General features: G+C 39.4%; 1 long non-coding RNA gene across 1 annotated transcript in view, besides 1 other annotated feature; it reads right to left on the bottom strand.

Annotated features, from left to right (window-relative positions):
- Positions 1-25,167, bottom strand: part of LINC01122 (long intergenic non-protein coding RNA 1122) — a 543,014-nt gene that overhangs the window by 302,010 nt on the left and 215,837 nt on the right. The gene's annotated exons all lie outside the window — the stretch shown is intronic.
- Positions 11,777-13,154: an enhancer, noted in NCBI's record as "VISTA enhancer hs1067". NCBI's record gives its function as "enhancer in: dorsal root ganglion[3/7] | limb[5/7]" and the evidence as "EXISTENCE:transgenic organism evidence [ECO:0001131][PMID:17130149]".

Raw genomic sequence — 25,167 nt, 5'->3', positions numbered from 1 at the left:
TGGGTTGAGGACGAAGGACAGTTTCCCCCACAAATACAAATTTGCTTCTGATGTTTATCTCTGCAGATGGTTTGACTGCAGATCCAGAATTGGATTGCCGTTCTGTCTGCAAAAATTACCTGGGAACCATCTACTCCTTCTCAACACATTTATTCACACAGCTCCAAAGACATTCCAGTGTGGGGGTTACATGCTTTCTTTGAAGGAAAGGACTGCTGGAGGTTTCAAACTTCACATTGTATCCAAGGGCTGAAGGATGAGGGAGCCAGTGATAAACCAGAGAAATGAAAGGCAGAGAAAGTAAAGCAGTGTGAGGGAAAGCACATGAATGAAAAAGAATGAGAAGAAAGTGCTTGATCTTGCATTTCTAACAAGTTCTCAGATAATGTTGATACTGCTGGCTTAATCAGTCCCCATATCCTGGGGAAAATGTCCTTTGTATCTCAAGTGGGAATAGAGTACAATTGTGACTCCTTTCTTGCTCTTGTTTTGAAAATCATTAGAAATATCTTTGGGAATCACAACACTGCACTCATGGTTTTCTTTACGCTTTTGGTAGCACAGTGGGTCTCATGGATGATGGATGTTCTGCTGTTCATCTTCAAAGACAGGTAAAGCCCTGGTTGTACTATCACCACTGCTGCTCAGTGAAACTCTCTTGTGAAGTCTCTGTGCATTTTCAGTAGGATGAAGGGGGAAACCCCTGAGTGGCTCTTCAGGATCATAAACTACTGTTGAATACTACTTTCATTGAATATTTTCATTAAAAAAAAAAGGGCTATGAATTAAGGAAAGAGAAATGATTTTTGCTTCTGCTAGTTGAATCTCAGCCTCCACCATACTTTGCAACAAACAAATTGTTTAATTTCCGTCTTAACCCTCTGTCAATATTGCCTTTATTTGGCAAGCCTTTGGTGAGAATGACTTGTACTTCCATGCCCCATGCTCCCTGATGCTAATGGTATTTACTTAAAAAAAAATCCACTTTATGAAGGGTCATGAGTCTCTAGGGGAATGATAACTGCCACAGATAGGGATTGAATCTGTTACCTTGACCTCTCTCACAGTACTTTTTAACCTAGGGCTTTGTCTTGACAAAGTGCTGTGCCTGGAATACTCACAAAGTAAGGTTACAAGTAATGTGTTGCTGCTACTAGTAAAGTACGAAAGTTTGTGAGAGATTTATATTCACATCCATACACTACATCCAGACATGAGAAGAACTTCAATGTCATCTATGGAGTAAAAACACTGCAAATTGTTTTCCTAGTTTTTGCTCTGGGAGATGTGAGAGAGAGGTCTAGAGTTCCAGTTGGTTCCCTTGCTCACCCAGGGCCTAGGACTCAATGCTTGACCCCTTGCTCTAGCAGATACTCTCAGGGACAGCCACCATGCATAATATTTGCCAGAAGAGTTAAACCACCTCTTCCTATTGAACGTGTCTTCAGCACAGAGTTGACTTGGGAACGAGACAGTGAGTCCCAGTGACCTAGAGCCCAGAAGGAAAAGATAAGAAATGTTCTCAGTATCGAGGCTTCTCTATTCTAAGTTGGAGAAACTGACAAAGGTATCATCCACAGTTTGCTTAGAAATATCTTCTACCAGACAGTCTCATAACCTGGTCCTTTACTTCACTCAGGTGTGCTCAAAAGCTTCCTCTTTAGAAAGCCCTTTTCTGATCACCCTGTCCAAAAGAGCAATCCTAACTCAGACATTCTTGATCCTATATACTGCTATATTGTTCTCTGTGGCACTTATTTCTATTGACATTACACTTGATTATTGGCTATCCTTGTCCACAGTTGTATCTCTAATGCACAGAAGAGTGCCTGCACAGTAAGTGCTCAGTAAATATTTATGAAAGGGCCAACTCAATGAACTTTGGGTACATCCAAGTAAGTACAGATGCTTCTTGACTTACAATGGTGTTATGTCCCAATAAACCCATCATAAGTTGAAAATGAATTTAACACACTGATATGGTTTGGATGTTTGTCCTCTTCCAATCTCACATTGAAATGTGACTTCCAGTGTTGGAGGTGGGGCCTGGTAGGAGGTATTGGGTCATCAGGGTGAATCTCTCATAAATGGCTTAGTGCCATCCCTTGGTGATGACTGAATTCTCACTCAGTCAGTTTACACAAGTTCTAGTTGTTTAAAAGAGTGTAACACTTCTTCCCTTTCTCTTTTGCTCCTGCTCTTGCCATGTGATGGTCTGGCTTCTACTTCACCTTCTGTCATGACTGTAAGCTTCCTGAGGCCATCATCAGAAGCAGATGCCAGCACCACACTTCTTGCACAGCCTGCAGAACTGTGAGCCAATTAAACCTTTTGTCTTTATAAATTACCCAGCTTCAGGTTTTTATGACAATGAACTAATGAACTAATACAATATGTAACCTACCAAACATCAATAGCCATGCTCGGAACATGTACATTAGCCTCCAGTTGGGCAAAATCATCTAAGACAAAGCATATTTTTATAATAAATCATTGAATATCTCATGTAATTTATTGAATACTGTACCAAAAGTAAAAAACAGAATCATCGTACGAGTATTCATCATTAATGTATACAGCTGAAGGCACAGTAGGCCTGAAGAATGTTGAAGCACTGAACTAAAATTAATTGCTGGATGATGAGGATGCTACAGATAGTCATGAGTTTATCTTAGTTTAGGAAAAGATCAAAATTCAAAGTACAGTTTCTACTGGATGTGTACCACTTTTACACCACTGTAAAGTTAAAAAAAATAGTAGGTTGAACCATTGTAAGTTGGGGACCATATGTATTTCCCATATGTAAACATTTCCTTAAAAAAAAAAAAAAAACTGAAGAACCTCTGCTCCCATCAACTATCTTCTGCTTCTCCAATTTGGGAATGACATGCCTGAGAGTACCCACATCAGAAAATACTCACAGTCCCCAGGTTAACACAGCACATGGCTCTCAAACTTTATTATACAACACAGTCACCTAGAGAGCTTGTTAAGAACCAGTGGAGCTTGATAGCTAAGCTCTACCCTTAGAGTTTCTGATTCTGTAAGTGGATGTCTGAGAATCTGCATTTCCAGCAAGTTCCCAGATGATGTTGATACTGCTGGTTTAAGGATCACACTAAACATCACTTTTTCTCTAAAATGCTGCAGTCATGGCAGCAGGTGATGGTTGTTAAATACTTTAAGAAATTAAAACACAGACATATTATGGAGTACAATGTACATTTCTCTGCATTTTTAAAAAGAAATGGTTTTCTTGCTGAGGGTTGATTTGGCATGAACGAAGTAAGAGTTTAACTCTTCCACGTGACTAAGGGCACTGGAGTACAGCTGGTTGAAGAGAACTGATCTAAGCCATGTTAGACTCAAGACAAAAGTTTCATGAATGCCCCAAGTTCTTCAATGCAGTGAGTCTCTCAAGAGGTGATGCAGAAGGAAATATCGAGGCCTGGTCTGTGGGTAGGTAGGGTGGGGAGCCCCTCCATTAGGCTAACGACAATTTCAGAGTGACCACAGGAAGCAAAGTTTAGCCTGGCAGTTAGTGGCGGGCAGCCAGGGGGCTCAGGGTTGCCAGAGCTCACCACACAGAGCGAGGCTGTAATGTCATGCTATCAGTTATCTGGGTCAGCCATCTGCGAGGCCTGTTGCTTTTCAATGGTGCTCTCGAGCCTTCAGTTTCATCTTTCTCTTTCACCCAGAAAAGAAAAGAATTGAAGGTAATTTAATGCCTTATAAAAAGGCACATCCTGTAATGTTTGCATCTTCCTTGTCCACATCATATTGCATGACTATTCTGTGGGATCCTTACCAAAAGTGACACGGGGCGAACTACCACTAGAATCCAAAGCAGAGAGTCATCTTCTGGTTGCAGACTGTCAAGGAAATGAAATCCAACCTTTAACCATCATCGTTCTCACTGAATGCATTGACCAAGTGTACTGTGCGTGATGGGCACACAGACTGGAAAAAAGCAGCAGTTTAGAAAAAGAAAAAGACAATTTCAGTGCTTTTGGTGTATGTTGCTTCCTTATCAAATGAATAAAGCTAATTCACTATTTACACATGAAACAAAATCTTGGTTCTGTGTATTCATATAAATATTTCAAAGGCCAGAGATCTTTTTCTTTACCATTTAGGTCTTCTTAAGAGTCAATCCAGCAAATAATGCTCTAGGGCAATTTGATACTTAAAATGATGAGACCTTTCCCTGGTGAGTCTCCCTGGGCTAGTTTTTCACAGCTGTGGTAACCTACACTCCACTTCCATTTCCCTAACAGACTTTCTGATCTCTTTCCCAAAATAAAAGCCACACATGTCACTCATGAAGAAAGACACCCACCTGTCCCTATCTTACACACTAAAAGTGCTTCTCAGTAAGATTTATTTGTGGTTTGTTTAGATTTGAACCTGTTGCCACACACATGCTATTTTCTAACCAAAATCCCTGTAGTAGAAGCCCTACCTCCCATTCTGAAACTTTATTTATTTCTGTTATTCCAGATGTATGTGCCAATCAGTTTAGCTCCTGCCAATTCTTGTTTATTAATAATGCTAACGAAAGAATTAAAATTCTACCAGATTTCAATCTCTTTTTTCATGCCTTAATAATGAGTCCTAAAAAGGATGAATTCTGATATTGTCTCAACAACTCAAAGGACTAGGTACAATCAGAAATTTGACTGGCTTTTTCCTACCTTGCACAAACTCAGGAGGGATATTCGTACTGCTAACTGCCACTGTATATGTGCAGATAATTTGCATTTTCATTGTTCTTTATTTTATGTTATTAGTTATTCATGAGATGAATATCACATTCAACAACTAATCTATAAAGCCTTTGCTTTTTAAATAACAATGTGCTGTTTTTGTTGTAGAGGGTAGAATGGAGAATGGACGTCCCATTTAGAGATCTTATACAAAGAACTGAAAAATGAATGACACATAAGCTCTTCCTTGCCATATGTAAAATCGGGATCTCAAAGAGAGTGACATTAGAGTTGGAAAATACAGACTGTACTACATAGGTTTATACATATAAGAGCCATATTAGCCAGCTGGACCTACTGAGAAAGGTCTCTCACCAGCAAGCCAAAGAGAAGAGAAGGTCAAGTTTAACCGTACTATGTAATGAACCTGTAAATGACTAATTATTTCTCACCAAACAGCACAATCTGCATGTGAGGCAAAAACCAACATAGAAAGCATCTGAACTCGTTTTTATTTTCAGTTGGATATAGTCCAAGTTTCATACACATTGGTTTCACTTTTCCCAATAAAGGCTTATGTCTATATTAACACAAATTGAAAAGAAAAAAATGAAAAGATTCCACTCTTTTTCTTAGTTTCAGGGAAGAGTACATTAAAAAAAATTCAAATGTGCATGTGAGGACCCAGCTGTGTTGTGAGGAGGAGGAGGCAGGTGGGTATTCTGGAAATGTGTGCATATATTGTAGCTGCACACTTAGCGATCTCAACATAAATGTCAGCTAAACATCACCCCTAGATAAGTTAGTCTTAAAGGGAGAGCAATGATTTCATTTACCAAGAGGGGAGCAAGCATAGGGCCTTTGCTATACTCAAAGGATTTTCCTGGAATCCCACTGTGGTTATCTAGGGAGGGGCTGCTTCACCTTAGAGGCAGTGAATTGCTAGGTCTTGACTTGCTTAGGAAGGAGGTAACTATCTCTCCCAGGAAATATAAAAAATCCATAAAAAGAGTTCCATATTTCTTTCAATAATACAACTTTGGAACTCAGAAATTCTGATAGAAAACACTGATGGCAGTAGTAATACAACCTAATATAATGAATAAAATAGAGAAAAATAGCGATCTAAGATTTAAGATAGTTGAAGAATAGAAATACATCTTTTTCATCCTTGTATCTCCCCCAGTACCTGAAATTTGGTAAGTGTCTAAGAATAACAATAACAGCAATGATAGCTAACATTTATGGAACTTCATTTTTGCCAGGCATGGTTCTAACCACTTCAAGAGTTTCAATTGCTGTTATCCTCAATAAAAGCCTGCCAGTGAAATACTGTCATTATTCCCATTTTACAGATGAGGAAATAGAAATACAGAGAATTTATGAAACTTTACCAAGGCCATACAGCTAATAAATGGCAGAAGGGGATTCACGTTCAGGGGATCTGGCTCCAAAGCTTACCCTTATAACTTCTCTGCTAAATTGCATCTTTTATACAGCATAAAAATTGCTGAACAGAATTGCTGAATTTTACTGAGGAGCTGAATTCTATTGTGCCATATTAAAAGTGTAAACTCATTGTGAAACTGAAAACTTAAATCAAAACTCTAGAAACACCAAAAAATTATACAGAGGCACTCTGGAGTTTACGGTGATTATAAACATATAATCACCATCTATATATAAAATTCTATGTTGGCTATATTATAACAACACTTAGTTTTAAATGACCGATATTGCCTGAGAAAATTTAATTCTTCAAAACTTTAGAATTTCTTTGGCAAATAAATCATTTGGCAATATTTCTAGACATTTCTCAAGTAGAAATACACAACCAGTTAAATAAAATACTTGTGAAAATGTGGTGATGATTTTTTTGGTTGCCCCTTTGCCCTTTCTTTCAGGGTCCACCTCTGCTGTCCTCCCCATACGCAGCCGTCCCATTCTGGACTGCATTTTATGGACAGCACCCTTTTTCCTCAATTTCTCCCCTCAAGGAAACTTGCATATTGTAGCTCCTATTTCCTAAATACTCTGAACTTTATTGAGATAGGGTCTCACTCTGTCACCCAGGCTGGAGAGCAGTGATGCAATCTTGGCTTACTGCAACCTCTGCTTCCTGAGTTCAAGTGATTCTCCTGCCTCAGCTTCCCAAGTAGCTGGCACCACAGGTATGCACCACCACACCCTGCTAAGTATAAATGGGGTTTTGCCATGTCGCCCAGGCTGGTCTAGAACTCCTGACCTCAGGTGATCCACCCGCCTCGGCCTCCCAAAGTGCTGGGATTATAGGTGTGAGGTACCACACCCAACCTCTGAACTTTCATAGATGATGTTTTAGCTCTAGACCTTGTTCAAATGAGATTCTATTAGACACCCCAAACCTCAAATGTACAAATAGAAGAATAGAGGACCTAGAGCTTCTTTTCTGGGTGCTTGCCCCAACTTTACACCAAAGTGTCGAAGGCACTGAACAAATCATAAGCCATGGCTTAGACCCAAACCAATGCCCAGTTTGCTTTTGGAGATTTGACCATGGCATGTGCAGGACTACATGAAGCATCTGTTAAGGAAGAGCCTACACACATAGCACACCTTGCTGGACTCCAAACCATAATGCTCCATCCTGTCTCAGCCCTGTTCTCCTGGGCTCCCAGTTATGCCCTTTGTTTTTATATACTGTTTACCCTCCCAAGTCACCAAAAGAGGAGAATAAGCCACTCTTTTCAAAAGGTGGGTATCTTGCTTCTCTTTTCCTTCATTTCTCTGAGCTTCCTTTCTAATATGCCTGCTGCTCCTTAAGTTGCTGGAGCTCATACTTGTGCAAACTACCCAAAATTTGGCTGTCATGCTTCCTCTTTGAAGGCTGTGCTCCTGCTAAACAATAATGACAACAAAGCTTTGAATCCCATATAAGTTCCACTTCATGAACAGCCATAGACATTCCAAGCCTGGCCTCACAACAAGCCTACTTCTCCCTGATGCCCTGTTGAGCTCAAAGGCCCACCAGAGGGCTTGCATGCAAGGAGGAAAGCAGAGAGGCCCTGCCCAGAAGCAATATAAGAAGAAAATTAACTAGAAGGGTGTATTAGTCCATTTTCCTACTACTATGAAGAAATACCTGAGACTGGGTAATTTATAAAGAAAAAGAGCTTTAATGGACCACATGGCTTGGGAGGCCTCACAACCATGGTGGAAAGCAAAAGAGAAGCAAAGACATATCTTACATGGCAGCAGGCAAGAGAGCAAGTGCAGGGGAACTGCCCTTTATAAAACCATCAGATCTCATGAGATTTATTCACTATCATAAGAACAGCACAAGAAAGACCCACACCCATGATTCAATTACCTCCCTCCAGGTCCCTCCCATGACACAAGATTATGGGAGCTACAATTCAAGATGAGATTTGCGTGAGGACACAGGCAAATTATATCATTCTGCCCCCAGCCCCTCCCAAATCTTATGTCCTCACATTTCAAAACCACTCATGCCTTTCTAACACTCTCCCAAAGTCTTAACTCATTTTAGCGTTAACTCAAAAGTCCACAGTCCAAAATCTCATCTAATACAAGGCAAGTCCCTTCCACCTATGAGCCTGTAAAATCAAAAGGAAGTTATTTATTTCCCAGATACAATGGGGCACAGGCATTGGGCAAATGATCCTGTTCCAAATGGGAGAAATTGGCCAAAATGAAGGAGGTACAGGCCCCACGCAAGTCTGAAATCTAGCAGAGTAGTCAAATCTTAAAGCTCCAAAAATGATCTCCTTGGACTTCATATCTCACGTTCAAGTCACACTGATGCAAGAGGTAGGTTCCCATAGTCTTGGGCAGCTCCACCCCTGTAGCTTTGCAGGGTACAGCTCCCCTTCTGTTTGCTCTCACAGGCTGGCATTGAGGGTCTGTGGCTTCTCCAGGTGCAAGCTATCAGTGGATCTACCATTCTGGGGTCTGGAGGATGGTAACCCTCTCTTCATAGCTTCACTAGCCAGTGCCCCAGTGGGGACTCTGTGTGGGAGCTCCCACCCCACATTTCTCTTCTGCAGTGCCCTAGCATAGGTTCTCCATGAGGGCTCCACCCTGCCAGCACATCTCTGCCTAGATATCCAGACATTTCCATACATCCTCTGAAATCTAGGCAGAAGTTTCAAAACCTCAATTCTTGACTTCTGTGGACCCACAGGCCCAACACCACATGTAAGCCACCAAGGCTTGGGCCTTGCACCCTCTGAAGCAACAGCCTGAGCTGTACAATGGCCCCTTTTAGCCAGGGCTAGAATGCAGGGCACTAAGTCCTGAGACTGCACACAGCAGGGGGGTCTATGGCCTCACCCATGAGACCATTTTTTCCTCCTAGGCCTCCTGGCTTTTGATAGGAGGGGCTGCTGTGAAGATGTCTGACGTGCCCTTGAGACATTTTCCATTGTCTTAGCAATTAACATTTGGCTCCTTGTTACTTATGCAAATTTCTGCAGCCAGCTTGAATTTCTCCTCAGAAAATGGGTTTTTCTTTTCTATCGCATCCTCAGGCTGCAGATTTCTGAACTTTTATGCTCTGCTTCCCTGTTATGCATGAGTTCCAATTCCAAACCTTATTTTTGTGAAAAAATAAAATGAAATGCCTTTAAGAGCACCCAAGTCACCTTTTCAATGCTTTGCTGCTTAGAAATTTCTTCTGCCAGATACCCTAAATCATGTCTCTCAATTCCAAAGTTCCACAGTTCTCTAGGCTAGGGGCAAAATGTCACCAGTCTCTTTGCTAAAGTATAGCAAGAATCACCTTTGCTCCAGTTCCCAATAAGTTCCTTATCTCCATCTGAGCCCACCTCAGCCTGGACTTTTTGTCAAAACCATTCAACAAGTCACTAGGAAGCTCCAAACCTTCCCACATCTTCCTATCTTCTTCTGAGACCTCAAAACTGTTCCACCCTCTGCCTTTTACCCAGTTCCAAAGTTGCTTCCACATTTTCAGGTATCTTAATAGCAGTACCCCACTCTACTGGTACCAATTTACTGTATTAGTCCATTTTCATACTGCTATGAAGAAACACCCAAGGCTGGGTAAATTTTTTTTAAAAAAAGAGGTTTAATGGACTCTCAGTTCCACACGGCTAGGGAGGCCTCATGATCATGGCAGAAGGTGAAGGAGGAGCAAAGGCATGTCTTACATGGCAGCAGGAAAGAGAGCATGTGCAGGGGAACTGCCCTTTATAAAACTGTTAGATCTTGTGAGACTTATTCACTATTACAAGAACAGCATCGGGAAAACCCACCCCCATGATTCAATTACCTCCCACTGGGTCCCTCCCATGACATGTGGAGATTATGGGAGCTATAATTCAAGATGAGATTTGGGTGGGGACACGGCCAAACCATATCCAAGTGGAATTCGCTTTGCTTAGACACGCCTTATGACAATTCCTTGATGCTATTTGAGTGCTTCAAAAGTTCTAAACTACTCCCCAATTAATGTACTTTAGCCTAAAAAAGAAAATGACACCATTAGGTTTGTTCATTGTAGCTAAAATAGAAAATATAAAGAAAAAGAAAACAAAAAATTGAGCTATAATCCCTCCAGATATTTTTCCATGGGCATATGTTTACAAAGTGGGATCATAGCATTTTATAGATTTCAATTTTATTGCTATCATCTTTTGGCATCCATCATCTATATCTAAAGTATCATTTGTAGAATTTCAAGGATGTTTTTCTAAATAATTTCCCTATTTAGATCATTTCCTGGTTGTCTTTGCATGAAGCAACACTGCACAGACTGGACAGTGAGCAAAGCAGTGGGGAAAAATTGCTCTAGGATCAGATGTGGATCCAAATTCTACGTAGCCATGGAACTTAGACACTTGGACATACAAAATCCTCCCATGCCTCATTTCACCATCTGTTTCAGGGGAGAGTAATTGTAAGAACATACCTCATTAAACTGTTCTGAGACTTAAACTGGGAAAGGTATGAAAAATGCTGAACACTATGCCTGGCTCATTTGGGCTCAATAAAAGTTGGCTGTGATTTAATAAGTCCTCATATGATTACATCTTTAGAATATATTCTTTGAAAGGAATTCAAAGGGTCACAGGGCCCAAACAGGATCTTTAATCCATGGCTAATTGTCTTCCAGTTTCCTCTCCCACCAGTGAGTAAAAAGGAAAGTGAGACATTCTCCCTCACTTGGGGATGTATGCGGTCCTTTTTTAAAACAGGGAGCAGCATGGGAAAATGGAAAGCACACTGAACTTGGAAAAAATTTTGAGGTTTAGTCTCAGCTTTGCTACTTATTCAATAACTGTGTGTTCTTGATCTCTCAGTTCTCTGACCTGCAATGTCGTCATCTATTAAGAAAAGAGGGATGGGAAAGCAAGTAGCAGTATTCACCCTAAATCATCTCTAAAACATCATACAGGGGAGTAAATAAAACAAGCCATGAAAGACTTTATCACCTATATGCTGCCACCCATATATGATATTTTAGCCTATCTGGGATTTGGCTCTAAGTAACGCTGTAATCTTTAGACTTCAAATTCAATTCAATTCAATTTAACATTTATTGAGCATCTATTACATGTCAGAAACAAAACGCTGAAGCTAGAAACAGAAGCAACAATGGAAATAGGTACATTAAAAAATGTAGCTGAGAGAGCAGGGGAGAGGTATAGATATTCAGTACAATCTAAATAAAAACAGCATAAATTTGAAAACTTTATTTTATACTTTTAAATTCATTGAAAGTTTTCATCCAAGCTGCCAAACTATCACCCCAAAGTTATCCATAGGCAAGAAATTGAGGGATGAGGAGATATTCCTGAATAATCACATCAATCACAAAAAGGTCGGGGGGCAATAAACAAGAGAAGTAAATATCAGGATCTTTGCCTGGTTCTGTATCTCAGGAAGTATGCCTCTTAGCTCTTCACATCCATACGCTAGACGGTGGCAGATGCTCGTAGTATCTAAGGTGCTGTGGGCAGATTGAAGGACCAGAGTCAAGAGAGGATGTATCATGGACCCTGTCATACACATCCTCTTCTCTGCCAGCTGGGAGAGACCTGTCTCACCCCCCATCTCCCACATCATTTTCATTTCCAGTTCTCACAAGCTCCTTTTCTGTCTTAATCAGTGCTGATCTGCTTTTAGCAGACAATAACAGCAATAAAGAGTAGCATAGATTTTGGCACATGTGTGCTTTTAATTTTTTCTTAATCATCTATCCAAAAAAGAAAAATGGGGGCAAAAAAGACTTCTGTCTTTTACAGTATTCTATTGTTTTAGAAAAGAAAGAAATTAAGGTAGGAAGAACTGTGACCATGACGGATGACATCTCCTTAAAGGAAAGCTGCATATTTCTTTATTGGCAGGACTTATCTTAATTTACACGACACATTGCTGGTCCTGCATTTTATGTTGAAATAAAGGAAATGCTTCTTTCTGAAACCTGTAATGAAAAATGTAAATAGTATATCCTTTAATGATTAACAGTGACTAATTCTACTGATGCTGAGTAACATGTGCTGAAGAGATGGATTATCTATGAAACATAATTTTACTAAGCACTGCTATGTAATTTGTTAAGCATTTAGTAATAAGTATGTCTAATAAAATACAAAAAAATTTAGAAAATGAACCATAATTTTAATATAATTTTAATTAATGGGAGTGCAATTACAGTGGTTTAAATTACATTCCCAGTGGTAAGAAGCCTTTCAAACCTAATTTGTAAGCCAAGATGGTGGCTCTAATGACTGGCAGCAAAGTTTCTTCAACAGATTTCATGGGGCATGATCCAAAGATAATAGGTTCTCAGCCCAATGACAATCCAATTACAATGCCAATCAAAGCCAACTTCATGCACTCTAATTATCAGATTTAGCTGTCAGCTCAAATACAAACATAACACTTTTATTTAAATAAAAATTTAATTTAGAAAAAAAAAATGACTTCATGTGTGATTTATTGAGACTGCCAGAGCAATCTAACTTATTTCTCTGGCAATATAATAAAATCAGTCTTGTATTTTAAAAAAAAAGTGAAAACTTTTCCTTCCCCACTCATTCTCCTGTATCTGCTAAGCTATATTATTTAGGAGTTAATTTAAGCAAAAAAGCATAACCTAACATGGCAGCAGATATTCGCCAACCAGAAGTAGGTTAAATAGAGTAGCAAGATTTCAATGAGACAAAATTCCATGTGAATAAATGACAAAACCTAATTAGTTTTAAACAGTCATCAGGAGAAACTGTTTCAACTAAAATCCGTTTACATAGGCCTGAAGCTGAGGACACTGGCTTTCCCTTATCTCTACATTGGATCATAGTAGAAATACAGACAGGGTGGAAAGAAAGGAAAAGCAAGCAAAATCCACATTAAAATAATTTTAAGACATCTGATATTCATAGCACAAATAGCAATAATCTAGAGTGTGAGCAACTGGTAGCGATTGCTTCCCACCAGAGCCCCAGCGTGGACTCTCAGTTTTTGCTCAAGATTTCTCCTCAGTGAAATGTTTCCCTTGGAGCAGTGCTGCCCAACAGAAATGTTGTATGAGCCATAATGCAAGCCACATAAATAATTTCAAGTTTTCCTGTTGTCACATTAAAAAAAAATAGTAAGAAGGAGCAAAATATTTATTTTAATAATATATTTTACTTAATCCAATATATCAAAAATATTATCATTTCAACATGTAATTAGCATTTTAAAAAAACTATTAATGAAAAATTTTACATTATTTTCTGACAGGAAGCATTAAAAATCAATGCGTAGCTAAGTGCAGTGGCTCATACCTGTAATACCAGAACTTTGAGAGGCTGAGGCAGGAGAATTGCTTAAGCCCAGAGGTTTGAGACCAGCCTAGGCTGGTGAGGCCCTGTCTTGTGAGACCCTGCTTTGTAAGACCTTATCTCCACACACACAAAAAAACAAATATGTATGTTATACTTACAGCATACCCCAATGCAGAAGAATTCAGCCACATTTTACTTGTACAATGGGCACATGTGGCAAGTGGCTACTGCCCTGATAAAAGCAGGCTTAAAGTCTGGCCCAATAAGAAAGTAAAGAAGTAACTGTCTTTATGTAGTGGCTTCAAAGACCACCTACTCCCAGGGAGAAAATATATTTACTGGTTTTCCAAAGAACCTAAAATTTCCTCTAACATTTTACTTCCTATGGTTTGATGGATATGCTACTATATATATATATATATATAAATAAATACATATACACACACACATATATACATATATACATATATATTAAAAAAAATATATATATATATACACACACACACATACATAAATATATATACACACACATATTAGGGGAAGAAAATTCAGGGAAGATTTTCTTTTCCATAATCTGTCTAGTGAACATGTAATATGAAGATAAGCCATCCTTTTACAATATAGATTTGTAAAAAATTAAGGACATGCTAGAGGATCCTTGAAAGGAGGGCAGTAATGTCAAGGGCAGAGGACCAAGGATAAGCTTCGCCTCTAGTAGCTCTAAGTCCCTGATTGCAGATGGCAGTTTCTCAAAACCCTCCTCTGTGATTTCCCTTGCTCAATTAGGGGGTGCTCTGTAAGCTCACGCTCGGGGACACATTTGCCCATTTTGACACTCTCCCAGGCCTCTTGTGGCTTCCCAGCTCTCAGCCCCTGAGCCCCTAAGGCCAACATGATATCCTGAATGCCCACCTCCACACATCTTGAATTCTACACCAATTTCCAAGGCACTTACAATTTCCAAACCCACCACACAGCATTAGACAAGAATCACAGCAGGTTAAAACAAGGAGTTAATTTGTTTCATCTTATATACTTAGAGTTGGGAGTAGCTTGAATTGAACATGCAAATAGATGCAAACATATGCAAATCAGTTTTTCTCCAGATAAACTGAATGGGAAAGAAGCCTTATAGTATTAGTAACATGCAGTGATTTTGTGGTGTTTCAAAGGAAATTATTTCCTTCCTCCAATTTCAAATGTGAGTAGCTTTCTCAGTCCTCAAATAAAACCAAAAGTTACCAGGCTTTAAGGAGTAAAAAAATTTTTAAAAGACTGATGCAGATATATCATGCTATATTTAAGCTTTAGTTATTACATCCTAAGTGCAACTCTCTCCAGAAACTAAAAAGTTCCTTACTCAGGGACAATGTAGTTCTCCAAATAAATCTTTGCTTTAGGTCTAACAATAACATAATTAAAAGTGCTTCTAAAAAGAGAAAGAGTAATAATACATGGCAGAAATGTGAAGTTAACAGCAGAATACACAGAGCTGCTGGTTATTATTTTTAATAAGAGTAACATATTATCCAATTCTGGACATAAGTGCCTTTATATTTATTATCCAACTCTGGACATAAGTGCCTTTTGCCAGAAGCTATCCATAGTGTTGTGGTGATTGATTTTGTTCATATGGCAATGCCATGTGGTAGTATAACTGGTATTCTCACCCCCTATTGAGATGTGACTTCTTGAATTCTAGTTCCTAATCCTATGTCTTTCTTCATATTAAGCCAGGTCCCACTGCTTCCTGGACAACTGCACCTGGACAAAGATGCTTCATCTTTACCATGTTCGAAGTCCTTCCTCCATAAAACTTGACCTTCATGAGTGCCTTATCTCAGTTCACGGCACCATGATCTCTTTAATTAGGAAAACAGAAACATCAAGTCTTACTTAATTCTGCTCTTTCCCCTTTTTCTCCTCAGACAGGCACTAACTTATATATGCAGATACCTTGAAAAAGGTCAGACCCTAATCCTTCACAGTAACAGAGACAATCACTATTAGGAAGGGATGTCTGGAACTCACAGCCTCCCACCTATACCCTAAGATTCACCTTTCTGTCATGAGCTCATACTAAGTTCTGTTACCACAGCCAAGCAGAGTGGCCCCATTTCATGTTTTAGTCCAAGTGTGGAAATACAACTATTTTTTTCAGTTCCCCCAAAGCCTAGCTCAGATAAAATACAGAACAAGACTTCACTAAACAAGGATAATAGAAAGGAAGTAAATACAGAGAACAACAAGCAACTAGATAGTCTAATGTGTGAAATACAGTTCCATTTTCTTTAGCTTATAGCCCTCTATGGGTGAATGGTCCTGGTCTAGCTTCCAACTTGCTCCCCTTGGTAGGTGGTTTCCCCTGTCCCTGAAGGATGTATCTCAAGGTTCCCGCATCATTGTCTCCTGTAAAGGGCTGGCCTGAAATAATGAGGTCAGAGCTAAGAGTAGTCTTCTTACAGCCTATTTTGGACTTTTCATATAAACGTCATTTCCCTTCATGAAAACCTCAATGTCCCGAATGTCTATTAGGGAGACTGTCTGATATGGTTTGGTTGTGTCCACACTCAAATCTCATCTTGAATTGTATGTCCCACAATTCCCATGTGTTGTGGGAGGGACCCAGTGGGAGGTAACTGAATAATGGAAGCTGGTCTTTCCTGTGTTATTCTCATGATAGTGAATAACTCTCATTGAGATCTGATGGCTGAAAAACAGGAGTTTCCCTGCACAAGCTCTCTCTTTGCCTGCTGCCATCCATGTAAGACGTGACTTGCTCCTCCTTGCCTTCTGCCATGATTGTGAGGCTCCCCTAGCCACGTGGAACTGTAAGTCCATTAAGCCTCTTTCTTTTGTAAATTGTCCAATCTCAGGTATGTCTTATCAGCAGCATGCAGATGTACTAATACATTGCCCCAGCCCTAACACCTACAGAGGCCTGGAATTACCCTATAGGCTTATCAGAACACAGCAATCAAAATCCAACTCAATAAATCTAAGGCACATGAAACATGCACATGTGGCAGCAAGAGATCCTTCCTTTATCCAAGTCCAGTATTTTCAAAATGCCTGTCAACTCTATCCTGTACTCTCTAAAAGCACACCAAAGGCCTGTTAGTCATTTCTATTTCCGTGTATAATAAGGTCTATGGGGTTTTTTTAATGATAAATGTAATTCATGTTCATTTAAGATACTGCAAAATGATCAGAAGTATGAAGACAAAAATAAAAGTCATCCATAACTCTATGATCTCTACCATCTTTTATCTGAATGTATCAGTGGTCCACAGGTTGCCCCAGATTCTTGCCTCTCCCTACTACAGTACAGTCACAATATTGGCCCTGCATTACACTGACTTCACATGAATTAAGTATAATTTATTTTAGCAAAAACTTTCACCATCTAGTTCTGAAGTCTCAGACACTGTGGGATGTTTCTAAAAAAGGTTTAGATCTTGTCTTCATGGAGATCACATGGTTGAAAACCTGTGGCTCCCCCATGGTCTTTGGAATACACTCCAAATACCTCAGAATAACATCTTAGCTCCTTTTCAACAAGCATGGCTGGATTAATTGTCCATACCACCATGCCCTCATATATCCATGCATTTTGTGCTCCAGCCACAGTTTACCCACTGCAATTTCTCCAGGAATGCCTCTGCTTTTGCAAACATTTATCTTCTCTACTTAGATGTCTACCCTTTACACACATACACACACACACACACACACACATAAACATCACCACCACCACTAGCATACTACCACCCTAGGAAAATAGTGAGCATTCAAGAAAGATATGTTAAATAAAATTAACAAAATACATTGTAGTTCATTCACCTCACATCAAGAGATTTAAATATGCTCCAAGGACTTAAAATTTAAAATTACAAATTTTAAATTTATAATTTAAATCTTTTGATTATGGTAGGATAGGATTGGGACTTTTCTTTTTCTTTTGGAAATGGAGTCTCACTCTGTCACCCAGGCTGGAGTGCAGTGGTGCATCTCAGCTCACTGTAACCTTTGCCTCCTGGGTTCAAGGGATTCTCCTGCCTCAGCCTCCAGAGTAGCTGGGATTACAGGTACCTGCCAGCACATCCAGCTAACTTTTGTATTTTTAGTAGAGATGGGGTTTCGCCATATTGGCCAGGCTGGTCTGGAACTCCTGGCCTCAAGTGATCTGCCCATCTTGGCCTCCCAAAGCGCTGGGATTACAGGCATGAGCCACCACACTGGATCGTTACATATTTTTTGTAAGTTATATTCACAAAGACTCTTAACCTGATGTATCACAAAAGGTGAAGTGACTATTGGAGGTTGAAGGGTGGAAGGAATGCCATCGTCTTTTATTTAGATTAGAAAGGTAATTGGAAGAAGGTTCCATAATTCTGCCAATATATCTGCATGGAACAAGTGGGATTTCAGAAACTCCTGGCATAAAGAAGTGTTTTGGAAGACGGTACTAGGAGTAAATTTCCAGCAGAAATGGAGGCCATGTGAAAAAAAAAATAATAACTAAGAAGTAGAAGAGTTGTTTTTGGTTGAATAGACAAAGATGCCCATAAAAAAACAGGAGGAGAGAATAGGGCATGAAAGGCCTTGGAGAAAGTTAAAAAGGAGTCTGCCAATTTAAGACTTTCTGTGACTCTGTAGAAACATCTTTGATGCAGTACTAGGAAAGAAACTAAATTTCATGAACTAAATTGAAGCATAATTGTTTTAAACAAATCCAACCTTTAGCCATGCCTTATGTCATCACTTCTCTGGGTTTTCCCTAGCAGTTTACCATGGTTCATCCTCTCCTCTTCACTAGGTCAATTCTTCAGCTTTGGGCAGCTGATCCTCTACTTTGTCTTCCAGCTGGTGCCTCATCTTGTCCTCTTGGCTTCACATTGCTAGCACTGGCTACTTAGGATTCTGATCTACCTGGCTTGGTGTTGGAACCCTCTGCCTTACTCCACCCCATGGGGTAACCAAGAAGCTATAAACTGGAATTCCAATGACAGTCCCATCCTCTCTATCCAGCCTCCCAAAGACAAGGCCAGTAAAGGACTTCAAGGGAAACTTTGGATATCTAAGTCCGAATATTAAGTACAAGTATGTACTAACATGTAAGTATTTTCAAAAGCAGATTTTATGAAGGAGATATTAAATAGTTTTGGATGGACATTTTGGACATTGCTGATTGAGTATGATGTGTTCTACATATTTTAGGAAGAACCTAAGCTTTTACTCGTACTAGAGAGGAGAATCACACTAACTTCTTCATCTCTTCACCCAAGCTCATCCTTTTGTCTCTGTCTCCTATAGGACTTCATACCATCTGACAGGCCCTCCACCCTCCTCTGCAGTAGTTTTGCTGGCTCCTTCTCTTCCATCTAAAAACAAGACGGGCCACTAGATTATTTAAAACCAGTAAGCCTGCCCTGTCATGAACCCATCTCTTTTTCTTTCTCTGCTAAAAATTGAGTGAGACTAATTATAACAATTTGCTCACTATACTTATCATATATCTAAAATTTCATTCCTCCTTTCCCTCAAAATTCTATGGAACACAGAATCTCATTCACTTTTTTGAGGGACAGAACTACATTTCTACCTGCCTGCAAGAAAATTTTGATTAACCATCCTTTGAAAATCAGTATATTAAATAATAGTCTGAGCCTTGTCTATTCCCTTTCAATTGTGAATATGATAGGAACACCCTCACCTTATAGACAGTGTCATGTGTTTCCAAGGTGGCTAATGTATATTGCTACATTGACACATCCATTCTAGACCATGAGGTCAACATTAGTTCTACCTCCAATATGTCTACTCTGAGCCCATGGAAATTGTGGATTGGCAGACCTAAGCCCTCCCCTAAATCATGTCACCTATATGTCTGGACAACTTGTATGAATGGCTTCTGAATAGTGCATCAGTTTTTCAGGAGGTACCTGGGTCCCTTGTCTCTGAGCCAGTTCTTACTAATTCCTTCCCCCTGAGAGACTAGACCATATTTCCTGTGTCTATGGCCTCCGACTCCTCCACAATGATTGCCTGAGACTCCAAGCATCTCCCCTGCCAGGCATTTAACACATTTCTACTGCCATGACTGGATTCATTTTAATTCCATATTTGGCCCGTTCCTGGCAGCCTTAGATCCCTGTTAATTTTACTATCCCTTTGTCCAATATGGCCGTGACTCTCTCCTTCCTGACAGCCTTATTTTGATGCTTAGAACCAAGAATACTTTCAATAATGATTCCACCTAAATTAAACCATGTACAACCTATATCATCATATTTTTTTTCCAAAACAAATCTTTCCAGTGTCCCTATTTCTGCTTATGAGAGCAGGCTCCAAGTGAAGTCAACTTCTCATTTTTCTCTCTCCATGTATCCAGCCTGTTTTTGAATTTATAAACTCTATCGCCACAATGCATCCATCCTCTTTTTTCTATTTTTACTTTCCCTAAGTTGAGTTTTTCATTACTTTCTTTTCTTTTTTTTTTTTTTTTTGAGACAGAGTTTTGCCCTGTTGCCCAGCTGGAATGCAATGGTGTGATCTTGGCTCACTACAACCTCCGCCTCCCAGGTTCAAGGGATTCTCCTGCCTCAGCCTCTCAAGTAGCTGGGATTACAGGCACATGCCAGCACGCATAGCTAATTTTTGTAAATTTTTAGTAGAGACGGGGTTTCCCATGTTAGCCAGGCTGGTCTCGATCTCCTGACCTCAGGTGATCCACCTGGCTCGGCCTCCCAAAGTGCTGGGATTACAGGCGTGAGCCACCGCACCCGGCCTTTCTCATTACTTTCTAGGCTATTGCTAAAGAGCCTCCCTGGAAGATCCCAACCCACTCCAAACTGTTTCTATTCTACTATCAATCTTTCTAAAGTATAACTCCCATCAGATCTTTCCAATACTCAATAACCTTCACTAATAACCCATTCCCACCAACTTAGAGCCAAATTAATCTGCCTGGCATTCAAAGCCCTTTCCAAATAGAAGTTATATTTGTCATTCCATTCTCACCTCTCTGTACATTTTTCATGCTGTATCTACACAGTGCTGTCAACCCTTTCCCAAATGGTCTTCACTTTGTCATTTCTATGCCATTGTTTGTGCTACTATCTCTGCCTGGGGTATCTTTTCCTTATCTTCATGAACAAAAATACTGTCCACCCTTCCAGGTCCTTTTCAAGAAACTGCTGCAGATTTCCCTGTACAAAAGTGGTTTATCCTTTTTTTGAACTCTTATAATATCTGCTGCATCTTTATCCTATGGCTCCTATAATACCACTTGCATCTTAACTCTTTATATCCTTGTTTTATCCATCTCAAAGGATGTTAAGTTCCCTTAGGGCAGGTGTAGTAGGCAAAATTATAAGACAGACCTCCACCATTCCTTGCCCCTGGTGTACACACACCTTCTCCAAGTTATTCAATCAAGCATAACCTAAGTATTGCTGTGAAAAGTCTTTGCAAATGAAATTAAGGTCCTAAATCAGCTGACATTTACATAGGAAGATTAATCATTGTGTGGGCCTGACCTAATTACATGAGTCTTTTAAAAGCAGAAATTTTTATCCAAGCAGAAAGGGAAGTCAGAGACTCAAAGTACACAGGGGAGTTAATGCATGAGAAGTTCTCCATTGCCAGTTTGAAGATAGAAGAGACCACAGGACAAGGCATGCAGGCAGCTTCTAGGAACTGTGAACAGCCTCTGACAGGAAACCCAGGTGGAAAACAGGAACCTCGGTGATGCAAATCAAAGGAACTGAATTCAGCCAAGAATGACCTTGGAAATGAACTCTTTCCCAAAGCCTCCAGACAAGAACATAGCACAACTGACGCCTGGATTTTACCCTTGTGAAACCCTGAGCAGAGAAAGAACCCAGCCACATTTTGTTGGACTTCTGACCTACAGAATTGTGAGCTAACAAATGGGTGGTATTTTAAGCTGCTAAGTTTGAGGTAATTTGTTAAATGGCAATAAAAAACTAATATGGTGGGGATATCTTATTTGTGTTATTATACCCAGCAATGCCAAGTTGAATCCTTTGTATGTGAAAGTATATCAATGTGCATTTAACTTCCAAGAGCATAAAAAATATTTGGGATATAATTTTTTCAGCAAGAATAAAAAGGCAAAATAAAAGGTGAATAGAAATAAAAATAAAAGGTAGTCTCTATGTCTTTAATTGGAGAAAATGTTGGAAATTCTTAATTTATTCACTCTGATAAGGCCACATTCCAGCACATCTTGAAAGTTCTGAGTATAGTCCCCAGAACAAACTCAGTTATGAAAACCTTTTTTTTTTCTTTGAGACAGAGTCTCACTCTGTCACCCAGGCTGAAGTGGAATAGTGCGATCTTAGCTCAGTGCAACCTCCACCTCCTGGGTTCAAGTGATTCTCCTGCCTCAGCCTCCCTAGTAGCTGGGATTACAGGCGCCTGCCACCAAACCTGGCAAATTTTTGTATTTTTAGTAGAAACAGAGTTTCACCATGTTGGCCAGGCTGGTCTTGAGCTCCTGACCTCAAGTGATCCTCCCACCTCCGCCTCCCAAAGTGCTGGGATTACAGGTGTGAGCCACTGTGCCAAGCCTGTTTTTTAAGAAGCTTATTTCAAGAAATATATAAGTGTGGCCTAAAAAACACTTGTGGTGACATTATTGAGCTGGCATCTAGTTCTATACCTGTGGTTGCAACGAAGACCTTTGCCAAGTACCTCTCTAAAGCCAAAACTTCAGTTCTTAAACAAAATTACTAATTCCTCCTTTCAACACTACGACCCTCTTCTAACTAATATCTTAAAATGGTTTTTCTTTTTCTGGTCTCAAAATGTGAGCAAACTTGAACATTACTGACATTGGAACACCATATTAGACTTCTTTTTCTTCAAGCCAAATGCTGAGCTTAAATCTCTTCACTCTACACCTGCCATAAAGGGTCTGTGGGGAAGAAAGCAGCTGCCCAGAAGGCACAGCCAAGCTCTCCATCCTGAAAGCTCCAAGGCCCTGGGTGAGTCATTTGATGAACTAAAATTCAGTTTTTTTATTGGCCAGAAAAACTTGCAACACTGGTTTCTCAGAGCTGTTGTCATATTCTAATAAAAAAAAAAAGAAGAACAAAAGGCCTTGAAAAGAATAGCACGCATGGCTATATAATCATCCAAAGGGAATCCCTGTCTCCTCTATGAGCTTATACAGTCTGGTAATTGTTTTCAATAAAATCATGGGAAGATTTGTAGGTAGCTAACATGGACGTTGGGCCATCCATAACTTTTGGCTTGGTATAGTCATACTATTATTTACCCAATAAACCGTAACTGTAGTGGAGGCCCAATAATTCAGCATCTGAGAGGGATTTGCTACAGAAGAAGTTATTATGGTTCATCAGATCAAAGGCTCACTTTTAGAAAAGCATCCAAACACAGATATACACAATAGGCTCAAATCATTACAGACTATTTTGCCAAGTAATACACCTTTTCAAAATAACTACAGCACTGATCACATGCCTCACTGTTTAGTTACTTATCCCACACATAGACGGGACTGTGGGTTGTTTTTTAAAAAAATCAGAGAAAGAGAGAAAATAAAAGAATAAAAAAGAACATAGCCACCATTTCAAAATAGAAAGATTATATTACAAATGTAGAAAAGCCCAAAAACCTAAAAGGTAGAGACAGGTATTTTCTAATTCACATTGTGCAGGTTGTTTTTATATTATTTATTTTCTTATCCCCAAGTCCCATCAGCTGAAAAGACAATGTCAGGCTTCACTCTGAATGCTCTGCATGTTGTCTGTTTGTGTTATTTTAAAAGGTCTGAACAAAAAAGCTGCCATATTGCAAGCAATTTAGAAAACCACCAAAGTTACAATGGATGGTGAATATCTTTGCCTCTTACCATTTTGCTCCACAGAAAGAAATCAAGGCATCCGTCTTTGATGTTTGTTTTTCGTTTCATAATCACTTGTGCACATGGTGTGTACATACAGAATGACAAAGGCTCAGGTTCATGACAATAATGATAAAATGAAAACACTCAAAATTCTCAATGTTAAAAGGCTTGATTAGGATAAATACCTCAAATTTCATACACAGATGTAACTAGCTGAGATTTATCAAAAGTTTATTTGTGTTTATTAATGCTTTCAATTTAGGGGTTGGGGAGTATGTACAAAGACTAAAGTCACCACTCTACAATCACCAAGTGAGATCTGGAAGTGCTTGTATCATGGTTTTGTTAGCTTGTTTTTGTTTTCTCTCCCACCAAGTTGTGTGTGTGTGTGCTTATGTGTGTGTTCTCTCCTTTCTCTTTCTCTTCCTCTCTCCCCTCGTCCTTCCTTTCTTTCCCCTCCCACCTTCTCTTTTGTGTCTTTCTCTCAGACATACAGAGAAAACATCAAATTTATTATAGTGCCCCTAAGTTTAGTTTCTTTGACTCAAAACAATGAAGGGCTATTGCAATGTCTTTCTCCTTCTCACCCATTTAGTATCTTTAAAGTAATTTCTTAAAATGCAAAAGAATTGCCTATATTCTATGGAATAACTTAAAAATCAGAACCTGCTTTTTCACTTTCTTTCTCCTTTTATCAAGATCAGTATTTTTTTCCCTTGCCTAGAAATGATCTCTTCAAAAAGTCAGCAAAATATTTTGGCTTTCTTCAGCAGCACTTTGGGCTTCTCTGTTACAAATTGTATACACATTTTCCAGACAGGAGGATTTGAAGGGTTTAAATTATTTTTTAAATGATGTCTGTATTCTAGCAGATTCACATTTGCAGGAGGAAGATGGAGGCAAGGAAAGCTACTACAGAACATAATATGTCTGGAATCAGGGGACTATTGAGCTCTATGCAAATCTGGGAAAAGAAAATATCTTCCTCATACATTATCTACAGCAAGGATTTTGAGTTTCCCAGACTGAAGAAACAAATGCTCTCGATGGATGTAGTCTGTCATTCATATTGAGCTCACATATTTTACTTCCTGAAACCAAACAAATACTGATAAACTACTTCAGTGAGCCTTTAATCAAAATTTCGGCAATACACAGTTGTCGACAGAAAGATCAGTCTGTGGAGCCTGAAACCCTTTCATCATCAAATATACAGAAATAATAATTATATTTATCTGTTTGGTTCAGGCTGCACACCAAGATTTACCCTTGCCCTAAGGACACAGAAATCATCAGCCATTGTCATCTCTACAGAAAAAAAAAATCGTTAATAACTTAGAGGTTAAACAGTTCTCAACAGTTGTGGGGGCTCAGGAAAAAGAAATAAAAATAATACATTTTCCCCTGTAATGGTACAATAAACTGTGTATGTGTTAACCAATTAGCACTTCTGATAATAACCCTGAAAGTACCAGTGAGCATCTAGCCTGCCCAATAAAAAAAAAGGTGTAGAAAGGGGAAGAGCTTATCTCATCATTCTGATTTCCATCCTCTAAGGTTCTCTGTGTCTTGTATATTTCAATGCAACTTATTCCAAAAACATTTTTAAAAATAGATAAAATGGGCTGGCGTGGTGGCTCACACCGGTAATCCCAGCACTTTGGGAGGCCAAGGGGGACGGATCGCCTGAGGTCAGGAGTTCCAGATCAGCCTGGCCAACATGGTGAAACCCTGTCTCTACTAAAAATACAAAAATTAGCCAGGTGTGGTG

The sequence above is a fragment of the Homo sapiens genome, chromosome 2, assembly GCF_000001405.40.
Source record: "Homo sapiens chromosome 2, GRCh38.p14 Primary Assembly".
Classification (NCBI taxonomy): Eukaryota; Metazoa; Chordata; class Mammalia; order Primates; family Hominidae; genus Homo; species Homo sapiens.
Note: the sequence above shows the minus strand (reverse complement) of the source record. Positions and strands in the feature narration are given on the sequence as shown.